The sequence below is a fragment of the Homo sapiens genome, chromosome 3 (genome assembly GCF_000001405.40).
Source record: "Homo sapiens chromosome 3, GRCh38.p14 Primary Assembly".
Classification (NCBI taxonomy): domain Eukaryota; kingdom Metazoa; phylum Chordata; class Mammalia; order Primates; family Hominidae; genus Homo; species Homo sapiens.
In genome coordinates, this window is record NC_000003.12 from 65,592,042 (window position 1) to 65,612,604 (window position 20,563).

Genomic DNA, 20,563 nt, shown 5'->3' on the forward strand with positions numbered 1-20,563 from the left:
CACCTGACTAGAACATAAACCCTATAAGGGATCTTCATCTGTTTTGGTTGATCATATATACCAGGCAGGCAGAACACAGTTCCTAGCACATAAAGATTGTTAAATAAATACTTGTTGAATAAATAAATATATCTTAGTGTTTCTGTGAGGACTAAATCAGCCAGCCCTAGCACATAGCAACCTAACAAAAGTAGGTTCCAATTATTATTAGAAAGAATAAAGTAGGCATGCATCTACTGACATGGAAAGTTGCCCAGATGTAAAGACAATAAGAAAAGTCAAGTTGTAACTGAATACAAAGTGTGCAACTGAACTAGCATGCAAAGGGGAGTTAATAGAGCATTATCAATAATACTGAAAAACTAGAAACATGCTAACAGGTCACCATCAGGGCAAGGGTTAAACATATTATACCATCTTCCCACCATACTTGGGGACATTATGTGGTTGTCACCAAGAATAAGGTAGGATATTTGTGTTACATATTAAGATGTCAATTTCAGATGGGGAAAAGAAATTGACTTACTGACTGAACAGGAGGTAGAGTGTGATAGCATCTTCTTTGAAAGAAAAAAGAAAAAAGCTATGTGCATATATATATTAGTGCAGAAAAGTTAGGAGGGAAACAAAGGAACACACGCACATGCAGTTACTTTTGGAGAGTTGGACTTCAGAAAGAATGAGGGCTAGTGTGTAATTTTATGCTGCATTTTTCCATTGTGCTTGACTTTTCTGCAAGCAACGAACCCAACTTTTGTTTTGCCAACCACAGTAACTTCTGGGAAAAACTTCCCATAGTGGAAAGATCTCATTTTAACTAATCATTTTTACCTTATTCCCTATTCCCTGATCTTATTAGAAGTAAATTAAGATGGGTTCTAATACAAGCTACAGGAGGGCAGGGGGTTTTTATATTTTGTTGATGGGGCTATGATTCCCCAGTGCCTAACAAGCGCCTACCACATAGTAGGCACTCAAATATTATAAGTTATTCTCAATATAAGGTCACCTTCAGGTAAAATTAAAAGTAGTAAATTAAAAAGTCCCAAGCTAGAAAGGGATATAGCAAAAGCATCCATAAACTGGAGTGTTAAGCCTCATAAAAAGGAGTTTAAATGTTTACAGACTTTTTTGGCTTCCCTTTCAGGTCACTATCTATAATCATGTATTTTTAAAGCAACTCTCTTTGGCATGACTCCACAATTAATGAGAAAATTATAGCACTTACTGTCTTATAGCCAAGTTATTTCATACAGTCTTTGTCAAATTTGTAGATTCCCACTGATCTAATCTTTATTGTGGCAAAGAAATATACCCAGTGCAATAATTCAGATGCAAGGACTAGTAGATTGTGAAGGATGGGGGGGAAAGGAGATTCTTTAATCAGGCGAGCAGTATGAACTTTTCAGAACAATTCAACAGTGAGCAGAGTAGAAATCTAAATGATTTTTTACTTCCAATAGAATATAGGATAAACTATCTGGTTGGTGGAAAATAATATGTATCATTAAATACAAACAAACTTATGTTTCATTTTCTATTTTCAAAATGATTTTTCAAGGAGTTGTACTTTTTTGCATTGCTTTGATAATTACAATAGCACTCTAGGAAACAGCCTGAACTTCATAATGACTGCATAAGGTCAAAGTTCTTAATGTGTCCATTCATTCAAGTATTTATTGAACGTGTATTACCTGCTAAGCATTGTGCTTACGACTAGATATAGAAATACGGGAAACATATTGATATCTCATTATATGGATATAGTTATATTGGGATATTGAAAGAGAAATAATTTAAAAATCTCCACAAACAAAAGCCTCACAGAATGGAATTAAAAGAAATATGTTTTTTTCTTTTCCTGCCCTTTCAGGTCAGATAATCATTTAAAAATCTTTTCGCTCAAGAACATTCAGCCTGATGAGTCACTTTCAAGCCCAAGACCTCCCCTTTACTCTCATGCCTCAGATCTTCTCAAACATTTTGGTAAAAGTCAGGTAACATTTTCTCCATCCTGTTTTTATTCTTGAATCTGGCCACCTATCAAAACTTTAAGGATGTCAACCGCCATGGATGAAGAAATAATAATCAGCAACAGCAGCTCAAGGACTGTATTTGAAAAAACAAAACCAAACCAGATATCTAGATGGCATCAGTCATCAACTCACTAGATTCTTGAAAAGCAAGTGGATTGAGTGCCATTTTTATCAAATGGAATCACTTGTCAAACAGGTTTACCAATAACAAAATGGCAAATCCCAGATCCCACTATTTAGAAACATTGTTTAGTCATAATTTTCCTGAGTGTTGACATCCCAAATTAGTCATGTAAATTTACTGAAGGCCAACAGTAGCAGAAACTTGTCAACAAGACCGAGGAAGCAAAGGAAGGCAGCATCTTTACATTTTTAGTGTTTATAACACTTCAAAAGCCTAAAAGTCATCAACAGCTGGCCTACTATCAGACACAGAGATCAGCAGAGTTACTGAATTAATGGCTGGCATTGTTGCTTTCTTCCCACCAGACATCTCAAAAAATGCTATGACAGTTTTTCTGGTGCCAGAGGGTGTCAGTATGACTGCGAGGGATGTGCTTACATTCAAATATTTGGGGTCTGATTATCAACATAAGAAATTTTTTTTTCAAAGGAAAAAACAAACATGCTGAGAAAATGGTGATTACTAAATGAACAGAATTTTGTTATGCAAATACAGTTGCAAAGAAAAAGAAATATCTGCAGTATTCTGATGGGGGGGTGTCTTTTGATTTAGCTTTTTCTAGTACTATCAACTCTATATTTACTTTCAGCTTTAGAAACCCTTTTACCTTCAGTGCTCAGTGTCTCCCAAATTCTATTCCATGCAAGCCTAATAAGCCAACATCAGAATAATGCATGGGTCTGTGTATTTATTTATTGAAATCATTAAACAGGCAGTTTCAGTCGGTATCACATCACCTGCTTTATATTACGCAGCACAGGGTCAAAGAGAAATTACAATTAAATTTTTCAATAACTGGTGTCAATTAAGCACGGTGTTTAGCTCCTTTGTAAATATGGAGATCTTATTCTCTCTGTCTTCTTTTTCCACTCCTCTACCCCCATCCATATGCCAAGAATGAATAGAAAACAAGGGGAAAGGAGAGGCTGCCTCATCAGAAGCCTTTGCTAGATGTGTCTTAGTAAAATCAGCTATAGTCATTACTTCTATGGCACCATTAATTCATGGGCATAGTTTCTGTTCTTATACACAAGAATGTCAAAGATCCATACAACTGTTTATCACAAAAACAGTCTTGGGTATCAAACGTATAGGTTCAAAGAGCTCCTTTCTGTTAATAAAGCCCATGTGAAACTGTTTTGCCACAAGCTTTTAGAGAATCTAGACTCAGGGTTGGTAGTTCCAGTGGACACACCAGGGGCCACCTCACAAATTGCCTCTTCTGGCCACAGTTAAACTGAAGAGGCAGTGAGGCTCTAGTCTCCCCTGGGGGTGGTTTCATATCAAACACACATGCCCATGCTTTTGCTCAGCAAGGATCGGGAGAGGAGCCTCAAGTCTAATCATAGGAACAGACCGATTTAAGAGCCATAATTGAGTAAAAAGAATAACGGACCGATTCCACGTCTCTCTAGCACAAACACAACAAATCCAAACACCAAACCTCAAGCATCTTTTTAAACACAGAAATACAACTTGAAATATACAGCCTAAGAAAGAAACTACATGGGGAAGCAAATGGGTAAGCTTCCGTTTTTAACTCTCTGGGGTGGGTAGGGTGGGTAGGGTGGGGGTGGGGAGTTAGGAGTATCCTCATCAAGAATCCTTTCCCTCTGCCCCATCCCCTTTCCCAAAGCCAAAAGAGGAAAGGCATTGAGAGACAGGGGCAGACTGCTTCTGTTTGCTCAGTTGAGAAATGGAGGAATCGAGTCTCTGTTGATACCATTAAACTGCTAAAGCTTTCAACAGCACTAAAATTCATTGGCAAGTGATGAGCTGCGCCTTGTCGACGAGTTTCAGTGCAAGTTAAATCACGAAAAGAATCCAACTTCATATCTAATTAATACAGGCTTCCAAGTGATCAAAAAACAACAGTTTTTCAGAAAGTATGAGCCTTATAGATGATAAAAGACAAGCTTTTCTCAACTAAGAAATGCATTTATTTTCCCAGAACCCCAAAGACAGTATGTCATTCCGTGGGTTACCATGTGCATATGGAATTTTTATGTTTTCAATATAAAAGTCACAATGCCCTCATGCAAAAGCTTCCCGTTTTACTGAAACCCCCAACAAATGTGTCCGAATCTTTTGAAAGCACTGAATACTCATTCAAGAGGAGTAGTAAAACAAACAACACTATAAACCAGCAAGGGTTATTTGGCTAGCACACACTCATAAGTAGTCTCCTAATTGATTCTCAGTTGACAGGGTGTTGAGCATGGTAAACTCTGGGAAAGAGAAAAGGGCCCAACATACCTAATCCTTAAAAATAAGCCATACATACCCTCAAATAATTTAGTTCAGGCACAAATCCACTCCCTTTGTGTGTGAGACAAAGTCTATATACCAACACTGTGGACAAGACAGCTTCCTTGTACACTCCATTGCCCCCTGGTACCCAGGTCAGTTAGACTTAGGACTTAGGAAGAGGAAGGGAGGCATAGCCTTCCTGAATCTTCAAAAATCCCCCAGCCTTCCGGGTTTGGCCCATTCACTTACAGAACCAGACAGGGAGAAAAGCCTTTTAGCTCCCAAGCACTCAGCAAGCCAGACTCTGGATTCTGTTTTCTGATGCCCACAGACATACATCTCTTACCTAGATAACACAGTGCTCTAACATACAAATGTTAATTTCCAGGAAGCAAACTTAAAAAGCCTTCCGCATGTACATTCTTCCTTTTAGAAATAGGAAAACGGACAGAGGAGAATCGCAGCCCTTCCGTTTCTAATTTTCCCCGAGAGCTTACAAAGCCCTCCAAAGTGCAAAGGCATTTGCCCACCGCGCTGCCCGGGGAAGCAGCTCTCCCTCTCCCCTGCCTTCCCCAGCCTGGGCGCCGGAACAATGCAGCAACATACATTTACCAACACCTGCTGGAGCCTATTAATATGCACGGGGACGTACTGATTTTTCCCCCCTCCCTTCCCCTGCCCTCCACACTGAGCAGGCTTTCATCTCCTCCTTTACCATCCATCAGGAACTCATTTCGCCGGCCCCCTCCCCCTCCCACCCCCAGTCCCCATTCAGCCGAGCCCCTCGCTCCAAAAGCCCGGGCTGACGAGCACACTTTGGAATGCACTTCATTAAAATTTAGCTGCCCGATTCCAACCTGCAATGCGGAGGAGGCAATACAAAGCGCGCGCCACACTTCCTCCAGCATCCCCTTCAAAAGCCCCATTGTTCGCCAGGCATCTGCTCCAGAGCCCGGCCTCTCCCTATCCACTGACCTCTGATTTTTTTTTCTCCCCCCTCCCCCTTCCTCCCAGCCTGGCCAAACGGGCCTGCCTGGTGAATTAAAACGCAGCCGCAGCCATCTGGCCCTCCCAAGCTGGCCGGGTTTCTCCCCGCCCCTCCTCCCTGGTCCACACACCACACACGGCATCTTCACCTCCATGGATATTCCCACAACCCAAGCTCAAACCTCCGGTGGCAGGGAGCCTCTGCCGCCGCCTGCCTGTCCCCAGGCTTCCTCCGGCAGCGGAGCGTTCGAATCCAGAGGTGGGCAGGGGGCGGTGGAGGGGTGGCGAGAGGAGATCATGGACCACTTGTACTTGCCTGCAAACCCCAGCCCAATCGCCAAGATTAATCCTTCCCTTTGTGAGCCTGAAACCGCCTCCCACCACGCTGGTCCTTGGCTCTGCAGCGGCTGTAAAGAGAGGCGGGGGTGGGGGGGGGGTGGGACCGAACCCCTTCCTGGGAGAGCTGGGGGCGCCTCGGCCACCTGACCACAGAGCGGTTTTTCGAGGGAAGAGGTGCTGGCAGCAGGAGCAGCTGATGGTGCGAGAAGGGAGAGAAGATGCCCAGGCTTGCGCCTTTTATATTACTGGCGACATTTCTAACACATGACAACAATTTCCATCTGTATTTAAGCCGGGAGTGTGAAAAAAGAGCATTACATCACAGAGCCCGGGCTCCTAGAGGCTGCCGGATATCTAGGCCGGGGGGATTAGGGGGCTGCACCTGCGGAGGGGGCGGGGACTGAGCGAGCCTCTCCCTGCTGGGGCGTGTCAGGTCCCCATCACCCGCATGGCCCTGTGGGAGCCCCTGGACATGGAAAGGCGGGAAATAGGGTTGCCCCATTTGCGACATGCTGGAGGCTGAGTGCATGAGTGGGTGGGTGAGGGCGAGGGAAGGGGCGTGACTCCCTTTCTTGGTTAGGGATACAACCCTGACTTCCCAAGAGCAAGGGACAGAAGTCCCTTCTGATGAAACTGACTTCTGCCTTTCTGCCTCTTCCCCAACTTTGGAAGGAATTCCAATAGATAATAACTCTTATGTTTGAAATAATTGTCTTCCTTTGGAGTTAAAATAAAGACGATGGAGTGGCTTAGAAAATGAATTTGAAGGATCCACTTTCAAGGAATTGACACTTCAAGAATCAAAGGTACAATCTGACTCAGAATCAAGCTGCTTCTCTACTGCTCACCTCTATGTCATTAAAACTCACTGTTTTTAAGGAGTGATAGGATAGTGGATAGGGGGAGGCTGGCCTCTGGTGCAGATGGTTGGCAAAGCTGCCTCTTTAAAAGATTCTCTAAGAGCCGGCGGTATCACCTCCACCCTGTTTCTTTTGAGGGATCCTTCCTCTTCATCCACCTTAGTGAGAAAACTTTATTGAGAGACCTCTAGCTTTGGAAAGGTAAGTTTTCTCTATTTTCAAATGGTCAGTCATTGCTGAAGCTACACCTTGTAGCAAGAGAGTGAATGCCTCCAGACTGTCAAAGAAAGGACGCTATCCACTGCCTTCCTTCTCATAATCCAGGTGCTACAGAGTCACGTGCAAGCATCCTCCAAGAATTCATTACTACAACTTGGACAGGAGGAGATAAAGGGGCTGCAAGATGTTCTGAGAGGAAGAATGCCAAGAAAATAGGGCAAGAGGGGAAAGGAAGCAAGGGCATACCTCTTTCTGGGGTATGTTGGGGGAGGCAATGCAGAAGCTAGATTACAAATGGGTGGATCATAGGATGGCAAAGCAGGCTTTACGGGTGCGGGAGAAAGGTGAGAGGGCAGTGGGCCATTTAGATAACAAGGCAGCACAGATCTTTCCTTCGAATGCAGTATCGGCTGGATTTCATAGCAGATGAGAAAATAAATGTTGTTCCTTCATATTTGCTACTCAGTAAACCTAGGCATGTCCATCTGAAAAATCCAGGGTGTGGAAGGACAGCATGTCTAAGGCCCCTTTTCCTTCTAGTCACTCACTGTGGTCAAAAGACTCAATACTGGAGTCAGACTCACTAGGTTCCAACTCCATCTTTCCATTTTCCAGCTGTGTGACTGTAGATAATTACTTGCCTGTTTCCCCTGGTGTACAAAATGGAACAAAAACTCTCTACTTGTTATACAGATCACACATACAAAGTGCTTGGTACAGTTCACCATACATAACAGGTGCTCACTAAATGTCACCTATCACTACTGCTACTATTATGATTGTTTCTATATAAAACATCTCAACCAAATGAAAGTGTTCATCTTCTACTACTGAGGGGACCTGCAAAATGGAACAGCTCCCAGGGCTTCAATTAGTGAAATGCAAACACCAGAACCCTAGACATCCTGGACCTGCCAGAAAAAAGCGAGTAAGATGTCTCGGAAGAAACACAGATTCGCTGGCTTCATTCTTGATTCACATCTACTTGCAGGAAGGTGAAAGGCCTTAAGAGTTACATGCAAAGTATTTGCTTACCTATTTTGTTTGAGAGAAACAATAAACTTAAGGGAATACTTTATCAACCATGTACATAATACATACGAGCATTTACATCACTTTTCCTCTCAATCATTATTTTTAAAAATGGAAAAAGAAAAGCAGATACTACATAAAACTTTCAAAAGCCTTTTGCCACAAGCTAATGCTGAAAAATGGAATTTGTATTTTATTAGTTTTCCACAAGAAAATGATTGTACAGTACAAATTAAATTGCTCTTTTGCAAGGAATCTGCATAGAGACTTCCCTGAAGGGAACAAAAATACAAAAGGCATTCTTTTTATGAGAGAAAGAAGGGAACTTTTATTCAATAAGTATTCAAGGATGTAGCTTTCCAGTCTTCAATAGGGAAAGAAAAATAGCCGTCATTTTGGTTAGGAAATATCCCTAATAATAACAAATTATTTTCAATCAGAGCTCCAAAGACCAGGTTTCTCTATGTGCAAGAGAAGCACAGGAAAAAGAGTCCATGAAAATCTACTTGGTTTTTCTCAGAGGTGTAGTATCTTGACACACTCAATCTCAAAAACCAAGGCTCTCCCAGCTTGTGTGGTCTCCAGCAGAAGCCAGGAGAGATGCTTAGTTGCATTTCTTTTAAAGTCTCTTTTGTCGCACACACAAAATTAAAACCAGTAGGTCCTGGGCTAGCCAGCTTCATGGGCGCCTGGCTTATAGAGCCAAGGGCAAGCTATGGCTGCAGTGCCTTGAGAGCACAGTTTAGAGAGGCAGTGAAATGTAGACACTTCTTTACTGGCAATTTTTGAGAAATAACTGTGAGAAAAAGGCCAAGAGTTTCTCTCACTGAACACATTGAAAGTAATTAGAGAAATGTTTAGGAATCACAATAAATGCTGTGGAAAAGTGACCACTTGCGAGGCAGTAGAACATACTGGTTATGAGAGTGGGATCTGGGGCTAGACCAGTTCAAAACCCCACCTCTGGCTTTCTCAGTGTGAACCACTGGGCAAACTTGACCTTACAATGACTCTACTTTTTCACCTGTAAAATGAGAGTAAAAGGAGTTCCTGCCTCATGGAACTGTGATGAAGACTAACTGGGTGAATAGAGGGCATGGTACTTAGATCTGAGTTCCCGGCACAGAGAAAGTGCTGACTAAGTATTATTACTGGCACATCAACACGCTAACTCTTAGGTGTGGATTCCCTCTAAATGCTTGCTCTGCATATGTTTTTCCACAAATATTTATTGAGCACATACCAAGCATATAGCTCTGTTGGATATAATAAAGAGGCAGAATATATCCATGGGGTCAGAAAGGGGTTTTATAGTTTGTTTGTTTTTTTAATAGAAATGTCCTTTGGATAAAATATGAACTCACATAACACAGGCCACATTCACTGACTAAAATGTAGTAAGAACAGCCATTAACAGTCAAAGGGAAAGCAAAAATTCATAATAAAATCTGCAGGATGTACCCATATGCCCACACAGAAGGAAATTATAGCCTTAAATGCATTTATTAGAGAATAAGAGAGACAGAAATTAATTATGCTTTCTATGCATGATGCTGTAAAAGTTAAAATGAAATAAATTAAAAAACAAAAGTAGAAAATTCAACAGTGTTGGGACAACTGGATATCCACATGCAAAAGAATGAAGTTGGACCCCCACCTCCACACCAAACACAAAGATTAATTCAAAATGCACCATGGACCTAAAATTATAAAACTCTTTTAAGAGTAAGATAAAAAAGCAGTAAATCTTTTTTATCCTGGGTGACACCAAAAGCACAAATAAAAAAAAAACAGAAATTAGACAGATTAGAGTGTATTAAAATTTAAAACTTTTGTGCTGAAAACAATATCACCAAGTTAGTGAAAAGACACCCATGGAAAGAAAAAAAATACTGGTGAAGCATTTATCTGATAAGGTCCTTGTATCCAGAATATGTGAAAAACTTCTACAACTAAACAATAAAAAGACAAATAATCCAATTAAAAATAGGCAAAGGAATTCAATAGGCATTTCTCCAAAGACAATACACAGATGGCCAACAAGCATATGGGAAGATGCTCAACAAATCAAAACCACAATGACATCCCATTCATACCCACTAAAATGGCTATAATCAAAAGGACAAGTAAGTAACGATGTTGATAATTGGAAGTGTCCTGTATGCTAATATAAAATGGTTTAGCCACTTTGGAAAACAGTCTGGCAGTTTCTCAAAAAGTTAAATTTATGATATGACCAAATGATTCCCTCAGTATACAGCCAAGAGAAATAAAAACATACATCCACATAAAAACATATACATGAATGTTATAGCAGCATTATTACTCATAATAGCCAAAAAGTGAAATAATTCAAATGTTCACTAACTGATGAATGAATAAAATGTGGCACACCCATATGAGAGGATACTATTGGGCAATAAAAAGGAATGAAATACTGATACGACATGGATAAACCTGAAAACATCACGCTGAGTAAAAGAAGACACAACATGTCACATATTGTGTTATTCCATTTATATGAAATCTACACCATAGGTGAATGTATAGAGACAGAAGGTAAATCAGAAGTTACCTATAGCTGTGGGAGTTAGAAGGAAATGGGATGTGACTATTAATGCATATAGGGTTTCTTTCTCGGGGTGATAAAAACATTCTATAATTTTGTGGTGACAGTTGTACACCTTGAGAATAAACTAAAAAATAATGATTTTTAAAAATAGGTCAATTATGTAGTATGGGAACTATATTTCAATAAAACTATTTTTAAAAGGTAGAAAGAAGAAATAATGAAATTAAGGTAGAAATTTATACTGGACACTATTGGCAATAAGGAAAAAATAGAGACAAAAACTGTTTCTAGGGAAGCACTATTAAAATAGAAAAACCTTTGGCAAATAGGACCATGAGTGGGGAAAGGAGAAATCATATATGATCAACCTTAGGAGCAAAAAAGGAGGCAATACAAATATTAAAAAGATTTATTTTCATGTATAAGAGAATACCATGTACAACTTTATACCAATTAATTTAAAATCTAGACAGAATGGTTCATTTTCTAGAATAATAAATTAATGAAACTATCTTAAGAAGCAATAGAAAATGTGAATAGAGCAATGACTGTAACTAAAATGAAGTTAAAGAACTATCTCCTCCTTCCCTTTTCCTAGCTACTGCAAAGAAAAAAATACGTACCAGGCCAGGATATTTTATGGACAGATTTTACCAAGCTTTCAAAGAAAAGTGTGATACCCTTTATACAACTCCAAACACAAATACTTTCCATACTGTTTATTATATATTTTCTACAGGTTCATACATATTAAGAATAATTAGAAAAAGATCTCAGATGAATATTTAAAAAATGATAATCTATGATTAACAGACCAAAAAATATATATAGCACAGTGTTGAGATGGTCAAAGGGGACAATGAAATTCACGATGCTGCTTCCATTTTGAATAAAAAAATTTATATGACAATCTACATAATAAAAATTTGACAATTATTTGGAATAAAAAATTAAGGTATTATTTGGAAACATGCATTAAATTTTCTGTCTAGTTGATTGAACCATAGAACGTAGATAAAAGGGAGGCATTACTGCCATCGAACAGAAAGTTATTCTAATTGTAGGTAAAATCCCTAAGAAACTGAAAAGCCTACATGCTGGTCTTGTAAGCCTGAATATAAAGTTAAAGCAGAACTAACAAAAAGGAATAGCCTTGTCTTTCTTTGTGTTGCTATAAGAAAATACCTGAGACAGTCGTTTATAAAGAACAGAAATGTATCATAGTTCTGGAGGCAGGGAATTCCAAGATCCAAGTGCTGGCAAGTTTGTCTTTTGAGGGCCTGGTCTCTCCTTCCAAGATGGCGCCCTGTTACAGCATCCCCCAGAAGGGTAATGATGGGTCCTCACATGACAGAAGACTGGAAGAAAGGAAACCCACTCTCTCAAGTCTGTTTAAAAGGATCCTATTCCCATCCATGAAGGTTCCACCCTCATGACTGAATCACCTCGGAAAGGCCCCATCTCTTACTACATATTGGCCATTATGTTTCAACACGTGAATTTTGGGTGATACATTCACATTATAGCACTTTGTAATTTTCACAATATCAAAATTTCCTTAGTTCTAAGATGTAATTAATTATAAGATTCAACTTTCAATTTATGGCTTTTCAGGGGAAAAGAAAACTACGGCATTAAATATGCACATTTATGTTTAAAAACATCCAAATGCAAAAAAAAAAAGTATCTGAGGATCAAGAAATATTGGTGTTATATGACAAAGAAGACACTAATAAAAATGAAAAACACTCTTCCAATGATAACATTTGAAGCTATGTTGGATTCTACAGCAAAGTTGTGCCTGGATAATGATGTTTAGTTATATATTGATATTAATATATAATGATTATTTAAGAAATAGCAAATACTGCTGGAGAAAGGCAAGCAAAACAAAAGTGCCTCAATTTATCTGATGCTTTTTAAATTGGCCAAGGGCCTAAAAATAATAACAGAGAAACGATATCAGAGTTGCTACTGTGGATGTTTTTCCTGGCTTGTGGAATACGATGACTTTCATATAATGTCAGAGACAAATAATAAATCACTTCACAGTTATTTATATATTCATAGAGATGGGGGTTTTCCTTATAAGAACCTTTGATTTCCATCATATAAGAAAAAAGAAACCAAAAACACCAACTTGAAATGCTATTTTCCTACTGGATTTTAACTTGAATTGCCACAAATGTGTGAAGAAGTGAACTGCTTATTTAAAAAAAAAAAAAACTATTGACAAGTCTCTGGCTTTTATTAGTCAACTGGAAAATCAAACAGCAAATGGGGAATAAACAAAATTCCTATGACTGTAAATTTCAACAAGAAGTGAAAATAGAACAGATGTGGAACATTTTCCTTAATGTGTTACTATTTAGCAGTACTTCCCTCCAAGGTGCAAAACATGACCATCTTCTTGGAATGTACTCAAATGGGCTCTTTTACAGGCTTTCCAAGAAAACACAAAAGCAGCAAGCTTCCAGTTGTTATGCCTGAAAATGACTCATGCCATGAAAATATGCAACTTAAGATAGCTAATGAGAGAAGAACCATTCTACGACAGCTCTAACAAAGATAAAGTTCCAGAAACTTCAAACATTTATTGTACAAGGGATGTCATAACGACCCTTTCAATTTGCATGACGAGACCTCACTATAAATGACCTGTTTTACAAGACCACATCCACTTATCCTTAAAATTGCACAATTTACAATGAACCTGTGCTGGTATCATCCTTTTGTATTTTGTGTTGTGACTCTTGCTGGCTTCAGAACACAAATTATGGCTCTCAGCATCATGTTCACCATGTGCATCTTTGAAAAATTTCACCTGTGAAACTTTACACTACACTCACATACCAGCCAAATGAGTTCCTGAAAAAATCTGCCACAGTGAATAAATAAAGGGGGGAGAAATTATAGATTTGATACTTGCTGGGGAGTATGATATGAAAGTAATTGTGCTTCCTGTAGGCCATGCACAACTGTAAGAAGTGCTCTTCTTCCTGCAGACAGACAAACTCAATGATGGAGAGCCTAACAGTTGGCAATAAAAGAAAAACCAGCCCTTGTAGGCCAACCAGACCCTTCTAGAGTGTCTGACCTACTTTTAAAGCATGCTGAAGGGCTTTCAGCAGATAAGAGTTAATGAAGGAGAGAGAAAAAATAAGTCTACAATATCACACTTACTATTTAAGTGTGCCCATCAGTGTGCCTTATATTAGTAAAGTATACATTGTCCAACTCAGGTTCAATGGTAGATTACTTATATAGGAAACATATCTCAATTGCAACTGCTCTAGGAAACATCAAATATTTTGACGAAAGAATTACAGAATCAAACTCTGAAATGAAAGTCCACTTCTACCCACAACCCAGAGAGGAGATCCGGCGAGTCCTACTTTGTGCAGGGTAGTTACATGTAAAACATCCCTTCCCTCCTCCTTTGCATCCATTCAACTCTGCCTACTAAATGATTATTTCAATTAGCACAGAATGTGCATTTCTACTCATCAGATACATGGACATATTTTTGCAGTTTGAGCACCTACTATGTGCCAGAGCCTCTCTTGGTGCTTTTCATGTATTATGTTAATTAACTCTCCCTACAAGTCTATGGGGATAATACTATTGTCCCAATTTTATAAATTGCAAAACCTCGGGTAGGAACTTATCCAAGATCACAAAGCCAGAGGACAGAAGGGCTATGAGTCAAACACGTATCTTTCCACATCCAAAACCTATGTTTACTCAGCAACCACTGCACCGTGCCTCTCAGTGCCCTGAAGGTTATTTTACTTTTACTTTCTTTATTTTTTTATTTTGTTTATTTATTTATTTTTTTGAGACAGGATCTTGCTCTGTCACCCAGGCAGGAGTACAGTGGCACAATCTTGGCTCACTGCAACCTGTGCCTCCCAGGCTCAAGCAATCCTCCCACCTTAGCCCCCAGAGTAGCTGCGATTACAGGTGTATGCCACCACACCCGGATGTTTATTTATTTATTTGTTTGTTTATTTTTGAGATCGAATCTTGCTCTGTCACCCAGACTGGAGTATAGTGGCATGATCTTTGCTCACTGCAACCTCCACCTCCCAGGCTCAAGTGACTCTCCTGCTTAGGCCTCCTGAGTAGCTGGAATTACAGGCACCCACAACCACGCCTGGCTAATTTTTGTATTTTCAGTAGAGATGGGGTTTCACCATGTTGGCTAGGCAGGTCTCGAACTCCTGACCTTAAGTGATCCACCCGCCTCAGCCTCCCAAAGTGCTGGGATGACAGGTGTGAGCCGCCGCACCCAGCCCGGCTAATTTTTGTATTTTTTGTAGAGATGGGTTTTCACCATGTTGCTTAGGCTGGTCTCAAACTCCTGAGCTCAATCAATCCACCCACCCTGGCCTCCCAGAGTGCTGGGATTATGGGTGTGAGCCACCACTCCTGACCTAAGACTGCTTTTCCTGACAATTCTCTTGAAACCCAGATACTGGTCAACACTGATATGGGTTTTTAAAGCAAGCTCCAATAACTGCCTAAGTCCCTATGATTTTTTTTCCGATTCTGACATTTTCTATATATTTTGAAAATATATGTACATGTTAAATAAATAACAATAACATAATTCACTGTAATATGGTTTGGGATGCCCAGGTAATCCCCAACACTCATGAATCTAGTGTGCAGATGGACATCCAAGAATAGTGCCTCCCTGTCAAATAGCTGGTACCTACCCCAGTCTCTTGCAGAGAAGAAAATTCTTTTCTCCTGACTTTCCCCTTCCTGCTACAGGTCACACCACTCCCTGAAACTGCTATTGTATATGCCCCTGAAGCAACTTTCCAACAGGCAACAGTAAAGGCAGGCAATGCTTCTGTTAACAGAAGTGGTATCTTCATCACCTTCAACATCATCCTCACTCCCATCATGACCATTACACATCACAGCAGCCCCCATTATATAAAGTGCTTACAGGAGTCCAAGCACTGTTCTAGGCCTCACAACAACCCTTTAAAATAGGCATTGTTATCTTTGCTTTGCAAATGAAAAAAAACTGAGTCTCTGAGAAACTGACAAGGGAGTGAGAGGAAATAAAACACAAAGCTCACTGACTATTCTTATGTGCTCCCTACTACTACCCTGGACAAGTAAATTTCTTTAATTGAGTCCTATGTCTATATTTTATCTTATTCTCTCTTTTTGGAAACTCACTTCTGGTCCTCATTTGTTCCCATCACAAGAAAAATTTCTTAGGAGAATTGATATGACCTCAAGTGTTCCTTTGAACAAATCAGGTGTTTCGGCTTACTGCGTATTATGCATGCGGCCACTGTCTTTCCTTTTGTACTACAACTATAAAAAAGAGAATAGCACATAAGAAAAGAGAAGAAAAAAATGTCAGAATAACTTAATGAACTGTTCACCTAATTTAAGAATAGGTTTAAAAAAATGTTTTAATACTACTTAATCCTCGTGTGATTCTCACCACAACCTACAAAGCAGGTATCATTAGCCCCATTCCATAGAAGCAGCTCAAAAAGGTTAGACAACCAGTGCAAGCACAGCCAATAAGCAATAGAATCAAAATTTAAAACCCAGTTTTTTCTACAAATCAGAAAGCAAATGACAATCCGATTAAAAAGACAAACGGGGACCGGGTGGAGTGGCTCATGCCTGCAATCCCAGCACTTTGGGAGGGTGAGACAGGCGGATCACCTGAGGTCAGGAGTTTGAGACCAACCTGGCTAACATGGTGAAACCCAGTCTGTACTAAAAATACAAAATTAGCCAGGCATGGTGGCAGGTGCCTGTAATCCCAGCTACTAGGGAGGCTAAGGCAGGAGAATCAGCCAGGAGGCAAAGGTTGCAGTAAGCCGAGATTGCGCCATTGCACTCCAGCCTGGGCAACAAGAGTGAAACTCCATCTCAAAAAAAAACAAAAACAAAAAACGGACAAATGGAAAAAGACTTGAATAAAAACTTCATGAAAGAGGATATCCAAATAGACAATGAGCATTTGAAAAAGTGTTCAGTATCATTCTACATCAGAAAAATGCAAATTAAGATCACAATGAGATACCACTGCACATCCACCAAGATATGCAAAAATTTAAAAGACTCATAATACCAAATGTTGGTGAGGATGAGAAGCAACTGGAACTCTTACACGGTGTAGGTGTGAGTGCAAATTGGTATAACTACTTTGGAAACTATTTGGCAATATTTATTACAGCAGAACATATGACGACACTGTAATCCAGCAATTCTACTCCTAGAATTGTGCACATATGTCCATTGTATAAGAATGCTCACAACAGTAGCTAAAAACTGGAAACAAATCAACAGAAGAATGGGTAAGCAGATCATGGTATATTCATACAATCAAAGACTACACAGCAATTAAAAAAATCAAACTACTGCTACATTCAAACTACATGGATGAATCTCAGAGAGTAATGTTAGCAAACAAAGTTACAGCAGAAGAATACATACTTTATCATTCCATTTATATGAAATTCAAAGACAGGCAAAAATAATCCAGGGTGATAGCATCAGAATCGTGGTTACTTTTGGGAAGGAAGGGAAGCGTTCAATAAGAGGAGACACAAGGGAGCTGCTGAAAACCTCAGTGTTCAAAATATTGACCTGGGAAATGGTTATATGGATGAGTGTGCGTGGTGCATGTGTGTGCGTAAAAATTTACCAAACCATGCAGTTAAGATTTTTATAACTTGCTATATTTATTTCATCTCTATCTCTCTCTCTCTCTTTTTTTTGTTTTTTTTTTGAGATGGAGTCTTGCTCTGTCACCCACGCTGGAATGCAGTGGCCTGATGTTGACTCACTGCAACCTCTGCCTCCCAGGTTCAAGCAGTTCTCCTGCCTCAGCCTCCCAACTAGCTGGGACTACAGGTACGTGCCACCATGCCCAATTAATTTTTTGTATTTTTAGGAGAGATGGGGTTTTACCATGTTGGTCAGGCTTGTCTTGAACTCCCGACCTCAAGCAATCCACCTGCCTCAGCCTCCCAAAGTGCTAGGATTACAGGTACGAGCCACCGGGTTTTTTTTGTTTTTTGTTTTTGTTTTTTTTTGAGAAAAGGTCTGGCTCTGTTGCCCACCCTGAAGTGCAGTGGCATGCTCATAGTTCACTGCAGCCTCGACCTCCTAGACTCAGGTGATCCTCCCACCTCAGCCTATTGAATTGCTAGAACTGCAGGTGTGCACCACCATACCTGGGTAATTTTTTGTAGAGATGGGGTCTCCCAATGTTGCCCAGGCTGGTCTCAAACTCCTGGGCTCAAATGATCTGCTCATCTTGGCTTCCCAAAGTGTTGGGATTATAGGCTTGAGCCATCACGCCCTGCTTCCTTCAGTTTTTTTAAAGGGTCTCTGTTAGAACCCGCATATGACTAGCACAAGCAATTGTTCACAATCGTTGCATTCTACTGCCAGAATCTGGAATAAGAGAAAGAAACTTTGATGTGCCCGGACAGGCCAGACCCTTAAGTATATAATACAAATTCAGAACAAAACAGCAATTATTATATCAACAACATTTTTTTTTTACCTACTCCATGTTCCTTAGATATCTAACTGTTTCTTGATTTATAAATGATCCACTCAACAGTAAGCTAAGAAGTTACAAAATTCCCCTACAGCATCCTTGACTCAAGTGGATTGGAATGGGGTATCTAATTCTGAAGCAATGCAAGACACTGAATGCCCACCTTTCAATAGCTCGCCTCTGGGAGAACTAGAATTGAACATCAAACAAAAAAGTTAATGAAACCTGTATTAGCCACAAACTTCTATCCACTGGGGAAAAAGCCATCTAGATTCCCAGAATTAGCTAGGGTCAGGCAGGCAACACTGATAGAATTCGAACAGAATTTCAGTCCACCTGATGATTTCACATGATGTCTTATTTCCAAGTCATATTATACATTTAAAGAACACTTTACCTACAACTCAGGCAGCTATTTTTTTTCAAAATTCCACTGAAACAGATATATCTTTTTTTTTCCCAAGTCACTAATTAAGTGAACTTGAGACTGTGTAAAGCCATTTCGAGATGGAAATAAGGAATATGTATCCCTCAAGTCAATTGATGAAATCTAAGAATACAGAAACTGCAACTCCAATAATTCTATAAGGTCTGTTTGTAATCTTATCCTATGAGACGGGAAAGGAGAAAAACGTCAGGTTCATTTAGGTACAAATATAGTATATAGTATATATACAGTATATATATAGCATATATATATACTGTATATAGTATATATAGTATATATAGGTATATATAGTATATAGTATATATACAGTAGATAGTATATACTATATAGTACATATACACTATATAGTAGATAGTAATATAGTAGATAGTATATACTATATAGTATATAGACACTATATAGTAGATAGTATATATAGTAGATAGTATATACTATATAGTATATAGACACTATATAGTAGATAGTATATATACTATATACATATATACATACATATAGTGTGTATATAGTATATATACTATATACATATATACATACATATAGTGTATAGTATATGTACTATATACATATATAATATATAGTATATTATATACGTATATAATATATAGTATAAATAGTATATAGTATATATACAGTATTCCATCTATGCTGTATATACACATATGGTATATATGTGTGTATACACACGTGTAGTACTATATACTATAGTATATACTATATATACTATATACATATATAGTATATATACTATAAATAGTATAGTATACTATGTGTATATACTATATGTACATATATGTACACTATATACTATACATATACTATATAGAGTATACTATATACAGTATATATACATATATACAGAACACTGTATACTGTATATACATATATAGTATGTATGTATACTGTATATACAGTATATATAGTATACTGTTTATACTGTATATATACTATACATACACACATGTATACACACACATATACTATATATGTACATACAGCAGATAGAATACTCTATATATACTATATACTGTATATACACATATATGACACTATATATACTATACTAGTATATACAGTATATATATACTATACTAGTATATACAGTATATATATATACTAGTATTATATATACTATACTATTATAGTATACTATATATAGTGTCATACATGTGTATATACAGTATATAGTATATGTTTATATACTGTATGTGTATACATACATAGTATATATACACATATATAGTCGGAGGAAAGAAACAGTGGTGGTTATTAGTGGGGGTTCTTGTAACCAACCTGACTGAGCTGCAGTCCTATTCGATAATTGTAAGCCAAGCCACTTAACTTTATTAGCCTCAGTTTCCTCATCAGTGAAGATACTAATAGTAATTACTTCCTTTATAAGATTTCTACAAGTATTCAATAGGAAACTATAATGAAAACACTTAGCATAAACTTGGTATTCTGTAAGTGCTAGATTCTTGTTTTAATATGTGCACAATATCTTTCAGGCTAGTCTCTCTATACTTTAATGAACACGATCTATCAACATAGTAACAAAATCTCAATTCTAGACTAAAAACACTGATATAAGTAAGGGGGAAGAGAGACAAAAACATAACATTCACATATAATCCCCTTTCTCCCAAACTATAATTGTTTGATTATTTTTTATTTTTTGGTATAGGTTGATTTTCCTTTTATAGAAAATATCAAATTTACAGAACAGTGCAAGAATAAGAATAGTACAAATAACACCATACACACTTTACTCAGGCTTGCTGGTTACTAACGTTTTAACCTACCAGCTTGTCATTTGTCCTCTCTCTCCCTCCTCCCACACATAATATATTTGTAACCATTTTTAATGTTTTGTAGCCATTTGAGCATAAGTTGCATCATTCACCATGGCCATTTACCCCTAAATACATTAGCATGTATTTCCTAAAAATAATGATGTGTTATTGGTTAATTTTAAATGCAATAAAAAAATATGTCATTGATCATTTTAAAAGTCTACTTTATTCATATTGTAGTGAAAATAACACAATTGACGTTTTCTTGTTTAAATTTTGGGCAGCTCA

General features: G+C 38.4%; 1 protein-coding gene across 6 annotated transcripts in view, besides 1 other annotated feature; it reads right to left on the reverse strand.

Moving 5' to 3' along the window:
- Window positions 1–20,563, reverse strand: part of MAGI1 (membrane associated guanylate kinase, WW and PDZ domain containing 1) — a 685,393-nt gene that overhangs the window by 238,516 nt on the left and 426,314 nt on the right. The gene's annotated exons all lie outside the window — the stretch shown is intronic.
- Window positions 5,913–6,464: an enhancer, noted in NCBI's record as "NANOG-H3K27ac-H3K4me1 hESC enhancer chr3:65583629-65584180 (GRCh37/hg19 assembly coordinates)". NCBI's record gives its function as "activates a minimal SCP1, AML or CMV promoter by ChIP-STARR-seq in primed H9 embryonic stem cells {active_cell/tissue: H9 hESC(primed)}" and the evidence as "EXISTENCE:reporter gene assay evidence [ECO:0000049][PMID:30033119]".